Source organism: Homo sapiens, chromosome 12 (genome assembly GCF_000001405.40).
Source record: "Homo sapiens chromosome 12, GRCh38.p14 Primary Assembly".
NCBI lineage: Eukaryota > Metazoa > Chordata > Mammalia > Primates > Hominidae > Homo > Homo sapiens.
The window spans coordinates 103,562,386-103,577,668 of NC_000012.12; the positions used below are offsets into that span (position 1 = coordinate 103,562,386).

A 15,283-nucleotide genomic window follows, 5' to 3' on the forward strand; every position below is an offset into this window, starting at 1 on the left:
CACATCCCCTGCTCTCTTTCCTTCAGTCTTCACAGCAACACTTTGCCAAATGAATTATCATTATCCTCATTCTGCCAGTGAAAGGGGGCCATGCAGAGAAGTCATGCAATTTCCCAGTCCACACAGGAAGAACATAGGTTTCCCTGACTCTAGAGAACAGAAATCCTTACCTCAGCATGGCTTACTGCCTCCAGTGACATGACCCTACTGTCCCACACTCAGCACCAACATGATTTTACCATTTCAGAAATTTCTTGCCAAGAAGATGAAAATCCAAATACTGCATTGTTTGTTTCAGGAACTTTCTGAAAATCCATTTATCCAAACAACAGATGACTCAGCAAGCCCACATCAGGGGGATAGGCCCTTCCTCAGAATTCTCAGTGGGGCTCATGAAATAACTGCTTACTTTTCAGACTCCCTTCCACACCTCACCTCTCTATGGACATCATCAGTCCCACACCATTATGTATCAGAGTGTGTCTGTATCATTTTGGCCCCTACATTGAAAGACTCACATTAACCGGACCCCTAAAACATTTTAACCATTGCCTCTGACATAACACCTTCCCTTCTGTGAAGCTACTTAAAATATGTCAATGCAGTGAGATCCCTTACTTCAATGAACAAATAGTTTGGATTCGCTTGATGAATAAGCTATCTGGAGGGTTTCTTTTAAGAGTTAGCAGTCAATCCCTGGCTTCTAGTGTACCAAGTTTGTGCTACTGATGGGTATCCCTATGCTCTTCAGGTTCCTTGAACAAGTAAGTCTTCATGGGTACTTCTGTCCAGCAAAGCAGTGAATCATCTCTAAGTGCATCTCCAGGACTCCTGCCTCAAGGTCAATCTGGTTCTGGTCTAGCCCAGGAATGTGTATCCTGGACTAAGCCCAGATGTCCTCTGATCCCCTTGTCAATTACCATGATATGCTACAGCCAATTGATCATTTGTCTACCCTAGACAAGATCTAGAATTGTTTTGGTGGTCCCAGTTGCACAATAAACAAGCCTAGCATTTAAGGGGTAGAACAGAAATGAAATTCCCTGATTTTATGTATCAGTAAGTTTTCACTGCATAACAAATATGTCTCCAAATCTCTTTGTGATACAAAAATAGGCATTTCTTGCTCAGACATTTGAGTTCAGCTAGGGTTTGACCTAGGCATTCTGCTATCTCATCTTAGCTCACTCATGCAGCTGGGAGTCCACTGACTGTTAGGTAATCTAGACTAGCTTCAGCTGAGACTATTGGGGTGACTCACCTCTGCTCCACAAGGCTATCATCCTCCAGCAGGTCATGATCCACATGAAAAACTGAGGGAAGACATCCAGGACCTGCTGGAGAGCACATGGAAAAAAGTTGGGACACAGAAAAGGAAAGCAGCAAGAGTCGGGCAGAGATTGATCCCCAAGGAACTTGGAATACCATGGGAAAGGTAGGTAGGGGTGTTTCTCCACTCCCCTCACCTCTGTGATAAACTGCTGACAGCCAAAATGTCAGGGAGCCTCTTTGCCCTTGCAGGCCTAGGCAATGCTGTCAGTGGCAATTTTCGATCTTCCTGGGGATAGAGCACCAAGTGACCACCTTGGGCAGGTGTGCTCACACTCCCCTCAGACTCACACTGAGACAGCAGATGCCATACTGATTATGCACCCATGGTGGGCCACTGCCCTCCTCAAGGAACCTCAGCCCTTGTGTCACCACATCACCACAACCCCCACAAATATACCGCAGAATATACTCTGACTTTGGCAACCACAGAGGACCAGCAGGTTCATAAGGAGCTGTGGGATCCCTGGAGATCAAGCCATTGGCACAAGTCACCCCAGGGTAGGGGGCAACACAACCTGCCAAAATGCCCCTTGGAACAAAAGAAACACAGGTGCAGTGCTCATCTCTGAAGGGGATGACACCAGTGTCTGGGAATGGAAATGGAGAGGAGGTTATCTCCTGCTCCCCCCAATCACTGTTGGGAACACAGCAGAGTCTTTCCCCACTGGGGGCTGGTGCAAAACCACACTTGGAGACAGCCTGCTTAATGTTTTTTCATGGTGGCTGCACCCCCACTGAAAGTGAGCTCATTGCTGCTCAGAATTGCACGAAGAAAGAGGCTCATCTCCCACTCCCTACACAGAGCAGCATACCAGCAACAGAGGGCAGACAAGCCACAGAGTTGTCTTGCTCTGGATTAGAAAAAGAGGCTCTGCCTTGAGGCTATTTCAATGGTAGCTGCCAGAAGGGCATTTTGCAGACCTCTGTTGCACAGCATTCAGGAGCCAAAGGACATTGATATAGTCTGTGTATTAGTCCCAACTCAAATCTCATGTTGAATTGTAATCCCCAGTATTGGAGATGGAACCTGGTGGGAGGTGACTGGATCATAGGGGTGGATTTCTCATGAACGGTTTAGCACCATCTGCTTGGTTCTGTCCTCATGATAGTGAGTGAGTTCTTGTGAGATCTGACTGTTTGTAGGTGTGTGGCACCTCCCTCTCTCACACTCTTGCTCCTATTCTGGCCATGTGACGTGCATCTTCCCTTTTTGCCTTCTACCATGAGTGGAAGCTTTCTGAGGCCTCTCCAGAAGCAGATGCCTCTATGCTTCCTGTACAGCCTGTAGAACTGTGAATGAATTAAACCTCAGTTCTTATAAATTACCCAGTCTCAGATATTTCTTTATAGCAGTGCAAGAACAGACTAACACAAAATGTCTATATATACTAAAGGTCACAAGCCCTGCAACAAGGGCATGATAGGAAAATGGATCACATTCCTGCCTAACCAGGATGAGGAGCCAGTACACCCTTGAGACCTCAGTGCATCTCAACAGGAACTCCCCCGACCAGCCCCCAGGGTGGGTGCCTCCACTCATCCTTGGGCTACCCAAGGGCAAGGAAGCTCTTACTCTTAAGCACCACCTACTGAACTGGAGATTGAACCTCACCACCAAATTATAAACCTGCTGTCCAAAGGACATAATGCTAGTGCATAAGATAAGCTTCCTTAGACACTCCCAGTCCAACAATAGATAGTGTGTTGCTCATTTGTCCAGTGCATTCCTATAACAAGCAGCACTTGAGAAAGCCACTGCCCTAAAGCTATCCATAACCAAGGAACATATACAGAGTGTTGGGTCCCCAAAACACCCAGAAATAAATCCAAATGATCATACACAACATACACCACAGTTATACCCTCAAGGGAAAAAAGAATTAAAAATTTAAAAGTCCCATCTAAATGACAGCAAACTCAAAAATAAGAAGTGAAAGCCCATTCAGATGAGAAAGAATCAGCATAAAAACTCTAGCATTACCAAAAAAAAGTGTTTTCACACCTCCAAAGGATCACACTAACTCTTTAGCAATGGACCCTAACTGAAATGACAATTCTCAAATGATAAAGAATTTGAAATATGGATAGTAAGGAGCTCAATGAGATCCAAGACAAAGTTGAAAACCAAAACCAATAAACCAGGTAAACAATTCAGGATATGAAAAACAAGATAGATAGATAGATAGATAGATAGATAGATAGATAGATAGATTTTAAACTCACACAGAGCTCCTGGAAAAGAAAAACTCACTAATGGAATTTCAAAATACAGTTGAAAACTTTAACAATAGACTAGACCAAGAAGAAGAAAGAATTTCAGAGCTTGAAGAATGGTCCTTCAAATTAACCCAGTCAGACAAAAATAAAGATAAAAGAATTTTTTAAAATGAACAAAGTCTTTGAGATATTTAGGATTACTTAAAGCAACCAAATCTACTACATATAGGCATTACTGCGAAAGAAGAAGAAAAAGTAAGCAATTTGGAAAACACATTTGAGGGAATAATTTAGGAAAATTTTATTGATCTTGCTAGAAATGTAGACATCCAGATACAAGGAATACAGAGAACACCTGGAAGATACTACACACACACAAAAAAAAAAATCAACAAGGTGTATAGTTGTCAGACTATCCAAGGTCAGCGCTAAAGAAAATATCTTAAAGGCAGCTAGAAAGAAGTGTCAAATCACCTATAAAGGACATCCTATCACACTAACAGCAGACATCTCAGCAGAAGCTTTACAAGCAAGAAGAGATTATTTTTAGCCTTTTAAAGAAGGAAACAAAAAATGCCAGCCAAGAATTTTATATCCTGCCAAATTTAGCTTCATGAATGAAGGACAAATAAAGTCTTTCCCAGACAAGCAAACACTAAAGGAATTCATCACCACTAGACCAACTACAAGAAATGCTCAAAGGAGGTCTAAACATGAAAACAAAAGGAAAATACTCATAAAAGCACACATAGGTACAACGTTCATAGATCTTATAAAGCAATTACAAAACTGAGACTACAAAGCAACTAGTTAATAACATTATGAGAGGAAAAAAAAACCTCACATATCAATATTAACCTCAAATATAAATGGCCTAAATGCTCTACTTAAAATATATAGATTGGTAAATTTGTTTTTAAAAATGAGCACTCACCTTCTGTCTACAAGAGACCCACTTATCAGGTAAAGACACCCACAGGCTCAAAGTAAAGGGATAGAAAAAGTTGTATCACACAAATGAAAAACGAAAAAGAGCAGGAGTTGATATTCTTACATCAGATAAAACAGATACCAACCAACAACAAAAAACAAAGAAGGACATTATATAATAATAAGGGACTCAATTCAACAAGATTTAACTATCCTAAATATATACACACCCAACACCGGAGCACCCAAATTTATAAAACAAATACTACTAGACCTAGGAAAAAGGGATAAATAGCCACACAATAGTGGGAGACGTCAGCACCCCACTGAGAGCACCAAACAGATCATCAATACAGAAAATCAGCAAACTCTGGACTTAAACTAGACTCTTGACCAAATGACCTAATACAGATATCTATAAAACATTCCACTGAATGACTGCAGGATATATATTTTTCTCACCTTTGCATGGAACACTCTCTACAATTGACCATATGTTTGACCATAAAGCAAGTCTCAATACATTCAAAAAATTCAAAATTATATCAAATATCGTCTCAAACCACAGTGGAATAAAATTAGAAATTGATACCAACAGAAAATCTCCAAACCACACAAGTACATGGAAACTAAATAATTTCTTCCTGAATGACTTCTGGGTAAACAATAATATAAAGGCAGAATTCTAAAAATTTTTTTGAAATAAATGAAAACAGAGTCACAACATACAAAAACCTCTGGGACAGAGGAAAAGCAGTATTAAGGGGAAAGTTTATAGCATTAAATGCCTACATCAAAAAGATAGAAAGATCTCAAATTATCAACCTAACATTTCATCTAAAGGAACCAGAGAAACAAGAACAAACCAAACCCAAAGTTAGCAGAAGAAAAGAAACGAACAAACGCCAAAGCAGAACTAAATAAAATTAAGATGAAAAAAATCATACAAAGGATCAACAAAATGAAAAGTTGGTTCTTTGAAAGGATTAACAAAGTTGATAGAACACTGGCTAGATTAACCAAAAAAGGAGAGAGAGAGAGAGAGAGGATTAAAAAAATCATAAATGATAAAGGTGACATTACAACTGATACCACAGAAATGCAAAATATCATTAGAGACTACTATGAACATCTCTATGCACACAAAGTAGAAAAACTAGAGAAACTAGATAATTTCTGGAAACATACAACCTCCCAAGATTGAACCAGGAAAAGTGGAAATCCTGAACAGACCAATAATGAGTAATGAAATTGGATCAGTAATTTAAAAATCTACCAATAAAAAAAATGAGGACCAGACAAATTCACAACTGAATTTTATCAGACATACTAAGGACTGGTACCAATCTTACTGAAACTATTCCAAAAAATCAAGGAAGAAGAATTCCTCCCAAACTCATTCTATGAAATCCATATTATCCTGATACCAAAATCTGGCAAGGACACAACTAAAAAAGAAAACTACAGGCAAATATCCCTGATAAACATAGATCCTAAGATCCTTAACAAAATACTAGCAAACTGAATCCAATAGCACATCAAAAAGATAATCTATTACAATCAAATAGATTTTATTCCAGGAATGCAAGGATGATTCAACATATACAAATCAATAAATATGACTTACCACATAAACAGAATTTAGAACAAAAACCATATGATTATCTTAATAAATGGAGAAAAAAGCATTTGATAAAATTCAACATCCACTCATGATGAAAACCCTAAAAAAACTAGGCATTGAAGGGATATACCTCAAAATAATAAGAGCCATATATGACAAACCCACAGCAAACATCATACTGAATGGATAAAAGCTGGAAGCATTCCCTCTAAGAACTGGAACAAGACAAGGATGTCCACTCTCACCACTCCTCTTCAACACACTACTGGAAGTCTCAGCCAGAACAATCAGGTAAGAGAAAGAAATAAAATGCATCCAATTGGAAAAAAGGAAGTAAAATTATCTATGTTCACTGATGACATGATCTTATACCTAGAAAAGCCACAGGTGTCCTCCAAAATACTCCTAGACTTGATAAACAAGTTCAGTAAAGTTTCAGTATATAAAATGAACATACAAAAATCAGTTGCATTTCTATATATCAGCAACATTCAGGAAGAGAACCAAAGCAAGAACTCAATCCCATTTATAATAGCCACATACAAAAAATACCTAGGAATATATTTAAACAAAGAAGTAAAAGACTTCTACAAGGCGAATGACAAAACACTGATGAAAGAAATTGTAGATGACACAAACAAATGAAAAAGCATCCCATGCTCTTGTATTGGAAGTCAATATCATTTAAAAATAACCATCCTGCCTAAAGCAATATACCAAATCAATGCAATTCCTATCAAATTACCAATATTATTTTTCACAAAATTAGAAAAAACAGTTCTATGACTCATATGAACCAAAAAACAGCCCAAATAGCCGATGCAATCCTAAGCAAAAGAACAAAGCTAGCATCATATTACCTGTTTTCAAACTATACTACAAGGTATAGTAACCAAAACAGCATGGTACTGGTGCAAAAATAGACAAATGGAACAGAATAGAGAACCTAGAAATAAAACCACATACCTACAACCAACTAATTTTCAACAAAGTCAGCAAAAATAAACAATGTGGAAAGGACACTGCCCTATTCAATAAACAATGCTGGGAAAACTGGCTAGCTATTTTCAAAAGAGTGAAACTAGATTCCTATCTCTCACCACATACAAAAATTAACTCAAGATAGATTAAAGAATTAATATAATACCTGAAACTATAAAAACCCTAGAAGAAAACCTAGGAAAAACTCTTCTGGACGTTGGTCAGCATTTAAAACCTAAGTGCAGCTGCTTTACGGAGGAATGCTGCCTCTAGGATGCAGAGCCTGCCCTTTATCAGGCTGAGCTGGGGTGGCTCTGGGCAGAGGGCACAAGATACTGCTCCACCCCTGAATGCAGCCCTCTCGCCAAATAATTTATGATTAAGACCTCAAAAGCAAATGCAACAGAACAAAAATAGATGAATGGGACCTAAACGAGCTTCACCACAGCTGAAGAAACAATCAATAGAGTAAACAAACAATCTACAGAATGGGAGACAATATTTGCAAACTATATATGCAGCAAAGGACTAATATTCTGAATCTATAAGGAACTCAAACAAATCAACAAGAAAAAAAAAAAACCTCATTAAACAGTAGGCAAAGGACATGAAGAGACACTTCTCTAAAAAAGACATGCAAGAGGCCTTGTTGGCATGAAAAAATGTTCAACATCACTAATCATAAGAAATGCTAATTAAAACCACAATGAGATACCATCTCACACCAATCAGAATGACTATTAATAAAAGTCAAAAAATAACAGATGTTAGAATGCAGAGAAAAGGGAATGCTTATACACTATTGGTGGGAATGTAAATTAGTACAACCCCTGTGGAAAACAGTATAGAGATTTCTCAAAGAACTAAAACTAAAACTACGATTTGACCAAGCAATCCCACTACTGAGTATCCACCGAAAGGAAAAGAAATTGTTATATCAAAAAGTTATCTGTACTTCCATGTGTATCATAATAGTATTCATAATAGCAGTCATGGAATCAATCTAAGTGTCCATCAACAGTTAAAGAAAATGTGGTGTGTATACTAGAATACTATGCAACCATGAAAAAGAATGAAATCACGTCCTTTGCAGCAACATAGATAGAGCTGGAGGCTATTATCCTAAGTGAAATAACTAAGACACAGAAAATCAAATACCACAAGTTCTCACTTGTAAGTGGAAGTTAAACACTGGGTATACATAAACATAAAGATGAAAATAATAGAAACTGGGGACCCCAAAAGGGTGGAGGGAGGAAGGAAGAGAAGGACTGAAAAATTACCTTTTGGGTAGAATGTTGACTGGGTGATGGATTCACCAGAAGCTCAAATTTCACCATTACACAATATATCCATGTAACAAACCTGCACGTGTACCCCTTGAATCTAAAACAAAATAGTTTTTTAAAAGCAGCTTAAGCATAAAATTTAGAACCAGGAGGAAAATTTAAGTAATCTCTATCAGCCTCATTATTTAACAGATAAAGGAGCTGGGACTCAAGTAACTGAAAAGACCAATTCAAGGTTATACAGTTTTTTGGGACAGAATTGAGTCTAAAACTCAGGTTTTCTAAAACCTAGTCATTAAAAAGTCCACTATTTCACTGATAATGTTTGCTATAGCATGCAGAAGAAAGTCATTTGGGGCCGACTTATGTTTGTAGCACTTTAAATTGAGATGAAAGAAGTCCCCTGCCATTCCATGTAGCACTAAATACATGCTCCACCAGAAAGGCAATGCGTTCACAGAACGATTTGCTTATTCAAGGCCAGGGATTTCCTCAAAACATGCCTATGACCCACTACAACCCTCATTTGCAAAATCCAGGAGAATTCATACTCAACATCCATGTTGAGGAGGGCGCACTTACGCCTCCCAAGGCAGCCTGCCCTGCTTCTGTTCAAATAGAGCTTCCTTTTGTTGACAGCAATTGCGCCAGCTGAGCGACTCTTTTGAGCCACACAACAAAAAGACACGAAAAGAGGCAGCTTTCAAGATATAATCTATGGGTAAGACCACCCCTTCCCAGGCAAGCGGGGAGGCTGTCAGCTGTCGGCCGGCCGCGGGACTGCATTCCAGGGTGGAGCAGCAGCGTGTGCCCTCTGCCCAGAGCCACCCCACCTCAGCCTGATAAAGGCCAGGCTCTGCGTCCTACAGGCGGCATTCCTCCGCGAGGCAGCTGCGCTTAGGTTTCAACGCGTCCCATTGTACTGTTGATTTAATGAGGCCTCTCAGGCACTGTGTTTGTAAATGACAGTCATCATAATGCCAAAGCCCCAGAGACACAGACATCTCGGTGTTCTGACCTCTGAGAAGCTTGAACCATTAAAAGAAATTTGTTTTAATTTAAAAATAAAATATAATCATAGTAACACCCACATTACCCTCTGGTGGATTTTATTAATTCTCCTCTGGTCCAGACAAGTCATTATGGCAAATAAGAGTATAAACTTTGGAGACAGAAACAAGTCCTGACTTCACACCTGCGATTTGTGACAAGTTATTAAGCCACTTTGAGCCTCTATTTTCTAAGTCATAAAAAGGATATTAAAATCATACCTTCCTCAAAGTGCTACTGGAAGGCTAAGATAATAAATGGACAACACTCAACATGGCTCCTGGTAAATATATGTGATACTGAAAAACAATAGCCCAAAACGATTTTATGTATCACTATTACCTAAACTTCCTCTTTGCCTTTCTGTACCAGGTCAGCGAAAATAAGTTGCTATTTGGAAAGTGTGATTAGAGCAGTGATTGGCACATGATAAATGATTTATAATTGTCAGCTATTATTGTTGTTGTTGTTATTATTATTGAACAAGAAACAAACTACAGAGCCTTTGGAATCAGAACTGAATTGATTTGACCCATTTGATTAACTAATGGAATTCTCGGTTCTGAAATTTTGAGAGGAAAAGGAAGATGAAACCTTACAAGGAATGGAGATGGAGTATGGTCAGCAATAAGCTAGACCAGAGACAGACAAACTAGCACCTAGAGGGCAAATCCTGCCCACTCCCTATTTTTGTAAATAAAGTTTTATTGAAGCTTTTTGCATTATAGTTACAGAGTTGAGTCATTGCAAAAAAGACTTATGACATACAAAGCCTGAAATATTTACTCTCTTACTGTTTACAGAGAAAGGTTCTTGAGCCCTAGGCTAGGAAGAAATAAACAGGCCTAAAACAGCATCTGGCACATAGTAGGTCATCAGTAACTATTTGTTTTTAAAAATTCACAAATTGAATAAATGACTAGGCAGGAAACAGCTGATTTATCATTGGTTCTGACCTATCCAGGTCTTCATGAAGTTACGACCACTTCATACTGATGTGTCAGCTCTATTATTGTCCTGGGGAATTCTTTGAGCCATTGTTGGGAGTGAATAGGGCATAAATATCACTTGTAAATCAGACACAATGGTACTGAGTTCCTGATAGTCGGCTCCAAGTGTTGCATGCTTTGCCTGATTCAAGCAGGAGAGGGAGAGAGGAAGCTAGTAATTGCAGAAAATACATTGAACTTTATATTGAGATAATATGAAGAGTAGAGAGCAAAGGGGACAGACCGTAGTCAAAGACTCTAAAATAGTACATTTGTCTCTAGTTGTCGCAAAGGAAACAGATATATCTGATCCCAATCCTGCTTAACTCTACAGAGTATAATTTTAAAAAGTGGACCTCTACATTCAGAGAGGTCAATCAATGAGCAAAGAACAAAAACAAGAAAAAAGCTGGAGTTCAGATTTGGTTAGGGTTTGGGTTGGACTATATTCTTAGAACATAATTGTCTGCTGAAACTTCTGCCAAAGTTCCTAGTTCAAACGTGAATGCCTGGCCATCTCCCTTTGATCTCTGTATCTACCCACAGAGCTTAACACATCGCCTAGTACACAGGGGGCCTTGAGCAAGACCAGATGAATGAGCAACTGGAATAAGTCCTCAAAGGCGTCAAAGAAGTGGTAGACCAGCTGTCCCAGATGACTACTGGGCAGTAAAGTCAATGTCTGATGATGTCTTTGCCTAAGTCTGCAGTTTGACTCCTGGCTTCATGACTTGCCCTAATAATTTGTCATTGACTTCCTAGCAACTCTCTCACCTTCTCTTATTAGTAACTTAAATTTTGTCTGATAATTAGCCCCTTTGCCATTCTCAGCTGTGTGGTTTGGCTAATCACTCCTTTCCAGTCCCAGAGATGGATCCCAATTGGTTTTCATATATCCCATCCCTCTAGTCACATTGGTAATCTATTTTACAAGAAAAACACCATAATCTGCATGGCTTTATTATCATAGGTGTTTATTTCTTATTCATATGAATGGATCCCAATTGAATGACCCTGTTCCATGCAGTGATTCTGGGACCCAGGCTCCGTCTATTCGGTTGATCCACCCATCTTAAACATGTGGTTATGGTTCCAAGTATGCCCTGGGAGTCATCTTCACTCCAGTCAGCCAGAAAGGAAAGAAAGCATCAGGATCATGTCACTTCTGCCCACATTTATTAGCCAGAATTTTGTCACATGGCCAAATCTAACTGCAAGGGAGGTTGGGAAATGCAGTCTAGCTTCTGCAGAAGGAAGGATAACTTGATTTGGTAAACAGTGAGTTAGTCTGTGCCACAGATGGGCATTAAACTTAATCAGAGCCAATAATGCATGAAGATAGGTTTGCTGGGGATTCTGGGGAAAATAATCATTGCATGAAAATATGTTTACTAGGGATTATTTTCCCCAGATTTGCAAACTCTCTTTTCCCATTGATTGGGTGAAGGGAGGAAGTGTCCCTTAAATCCTGAGGGCTATCGAGTAGCCTGAGCATGGAGCCAACCTGGAAGAAGCAGAGCTGAGACACAGATACTGAGGACATCATTCAAAGCCTGAGTCAAACCGTGCCTGAAGCCAGACCTATCTCTGAATTTTTCATTTGTGTGAATCAATAAATTCCCTTTTGGTTTATGCCAGTGACTTGGGTATTCTCTCTCTTGCTACTAAAATTGTCTGAGTTATATCATTATTGTCAGCCATCAATGAACTCTACCCTCCTCTCCTCCCAATTCTGTTGATGGCAAAGAGGCAGCAAAAGGAAAGATTAAGAGTTCAGAATCTGCAGCCAAAGAACCTAGATTTGAACCCCAAACTACAGCGCTTGTCCTTAGGCGTGTCATATCTTTGTGCCTCCATTTGTCCATAGATAAATGAGAAATAATAATAGTACCTACCTCATAGGATTGTTGAAGATGGATGAGGCAATTTATGTAAGTGCTGAGAATATGCATGACACTTAACACAACTATAGAAATACTTACGGTTGTTACTATGCAGATGAACCAGAGCTATGTTGCTTCTTTTGCCCTCACTTCAGCCAAAGAAGGCATCTCCCTTTTCAGCTCTGTGATGTTTCCCCTCACCTCTCTCCTCCTTCCCTCCTTCTCTTGCCTCTCAAACCCTCTTTTCCTCCACGCTTGCTCTTCCTCCTATCTTACTGGCATGGACTGTGGGGAGGAAATTATTATTTCACTACCCAAAACAAATTGGTTGGCTCACCCTGGATAAAATGAACTTTCTGGACCCTAGAGATGCCATGTATTAGCAACCAGAGAGACACACAAGCGTAGACAATCAAAGACCCAAAGCCACATTTCCCAGGTGTAACTGAAAACTCTCCCTTGGAAGGTGACAGGAGGGGACCCAAGTGCAAAGTTCAGAATGCCCTCTTCATGCTACTAAAATGTAACTGGCATGAACTGCTCCACAAACCAGAGGCAATTGTTTATTGTCTTAAATCACCTCCCTAGGCCCCATGAACCTTATTTGACAAGAAATTCAGTACCTCTTTTTAGACAAGTACACCTCACCCCACCTTTGGAGAGTTGACAAACCCTAAGGGATTGTACAGTCCGAAAGGGGTTTCAATACAGCTCCCCTGCAAAGGCTGAGAGAAAAACGGGGTGGAGTGCTGTCATTGCCCCTTGCCACCACACGAGGTCACTGTTAAGGACAGATGCTGCCATAGTGCCCTCTGGTCCCCGCTCCAGCACTGGAGGTTTCCTGGTTCTCTGAGGGAAGCCCGCCCTTGTGCCAAGTGTAACTAAGGGCGCCTGCTTTTCGGATGGGCGCTTTCAGTTCACATGCAGCGCCGCCTTCCAGAACGTCCGCCAACCCCAGGCTCACCAAATCAGGATTCACTCTTTCAACTAACTCTGCAGGAACAGAATCACCGTCCACCATTTCCCTGACAACTTTACCATTTTAAAAAGCGGTTGCATTCTAGCCCCCTTCCCCCCTGAGGGTGAAGTGCCCTTCGACGGGCCATTGCCCTCTGTGGTTCCAGGAGGCACCTGTCCCGCTACAGAGAAAGGAAAACAACACATTTAAAATCAGGCAGCTGGTCCCACCACATGGTAGTCAGTCTCCTGCTAACTCCTCCTGGGCAGAAAGGGAAGTGAGAGAGGACAGGGAATGAGGCATCTGCAGCGCGACTTCTGCTCCCCCAGCCACACCCATGGTTTTTGTCTGTGGGCTCTCACTCCAAGAAATTGTTCACTTTGGGAAGCCGAGGCAGGCGGATCACGAGGTCAGGAGATGGAGACCATCCTGGCTAACACGGTGAAACCCCGTCTCTACTAAAGATATTAAAAATTAGCGGGGTGTGGTGGCACACGCCTGTAGTCCCAGCTAGTCGGGAGGCTGAGGCAGGAGAATCGCTTGAACCAGGGAGGTGGAGGTTGCAGTGAGCCGAGATCGCACCACTGCACTCCAGCCTGGGCTACAGAGCGAGACTCCCTCCCCCACCCGCAACGCCCACAAAAAAAAAAAAAAAAAAAGATTGTTGTGCCTGCCGATAGAATCCCTTGGTTTAATTTTACTAAAAGTACAAGACGAGGAAGAAAATATAACTTTTGTGTTTATTTTTCCTAAAGTCTATTGACCTTCCTTTTTGGACTGCACAATCCCCTGGGGTGTGGACTATTAGGGGTGGCTCGTACGCCTTTAAGAGCAAAATCAGCCATTACTCAAAGACACTTCATCTTTTTTTAACTTTTGTTTTCTGCCTAATGTTTCCCAAAGCATGAAGTAAGTGCTTTTTCCCATTATATTTTTTTCAATAACCTCTATGCATACAAAATTTAGATAATCATTAAAATATGCAAGGTATTATATTAAATGCTTGAAATCAGTGTTGTTTTGTTTTGTTTTGTTTTGTTTTTTGAGACAGTCTTGCTCTGTCGTCCAGGCTGGAGTGCAGTAGCGCCATCTCAGCTCACTGCAACCTCCACCTCCCGGATTCAAGCAATTCTCCTGCCTCAGCCTCCCAAGTGTCTGGACTACAGGCACGTACCACCACATCTGGCTAGTTTTTTAGTAGATACAGGGTCTCATCATGTTGGCCAGGCTAGTCTCAAACTCCTGGCCTCAGGTGATCCACCCACCTCGGCCTCCCAAAGTGCTGGGATTACAGGCATGAGTCACTGCGCCTGGACCTTGAAGTAGATGTATTCTTTAAGAGTAGGATTGATTAATCAGATTTTTGCTTTTTCAGCTACCAGAGAGGGTTTTTTTCTTGTTTATCCTTCCCACAGTTTCTACTGTTCTGTCTTCCTCTCTCATTTTTTTACTCTTTTTACCCTCTTGATCCTTCAATTTTTTTGCTACTGTGATTGTTAGCCATATTAAACTGAAATGTTTTAATCAATGTATTTATTTAATAAAATGTAATATTGTCTGTTCTTTAAGAAATTGCTTTAGTGGAACTTTTTTCTACAGTAAAGACACAAAAAAAATACCAAAGTAATAAAATGTATGAGCTAAAACTATAAAACTTAGGCATAACATAACAGAAAAGTCTTGTGACATTAGATTTGGCAATGATTTCTTGAATACAATGCCAAAAGCAGAGGCAACAAAAGTAAAAATAAATTGTACTTCATCAAAATTAAATACTTCTGTGCAACACGGAACACTGTCAGCAGAGTGAAAAAGCAACCCACAAAATGGGAGAAAATATTTGTAAATCATATGCCTGATGAGGGATTAATTCACAGAATATATAAAGAATTCCCATAACAAAAAACAACCAGATTAAAAAATGGGCAAAGGATTTTATTAGACATTTTGCTGAAGAAGATATACAATAAGCACATAAAAAGATGTTCAGTATCATTGATCATTAGGGAAATGCAAATCAAAACCACAGT

At 40.1% G+C, this 15,283-nt stretch overlaps 1 protein-coding gene across 1 annotated transcript in view; it reads right to left on the reverse strand.

Annotated features, from left to right (window-relative positions):
• The window catches only part of C12orf42 (chromosome 12 open reading frame 42), a 516,167-nt gene extending 514,762 nt beyond the window's left edge, over positions 1–1,405 (reverse strand). The window contains exon 1 of the mRNA XM_047428803.1: positions 1,262–1,405. The gene's annotated coding sequence lies outside the window, so the exon portion shown is untranslated. The remainder of the gene's footprint in view (positions 1–1,261) is intronic.
• Positions 1,406–15,283: the final 13,878 nt, after the last annotated feature.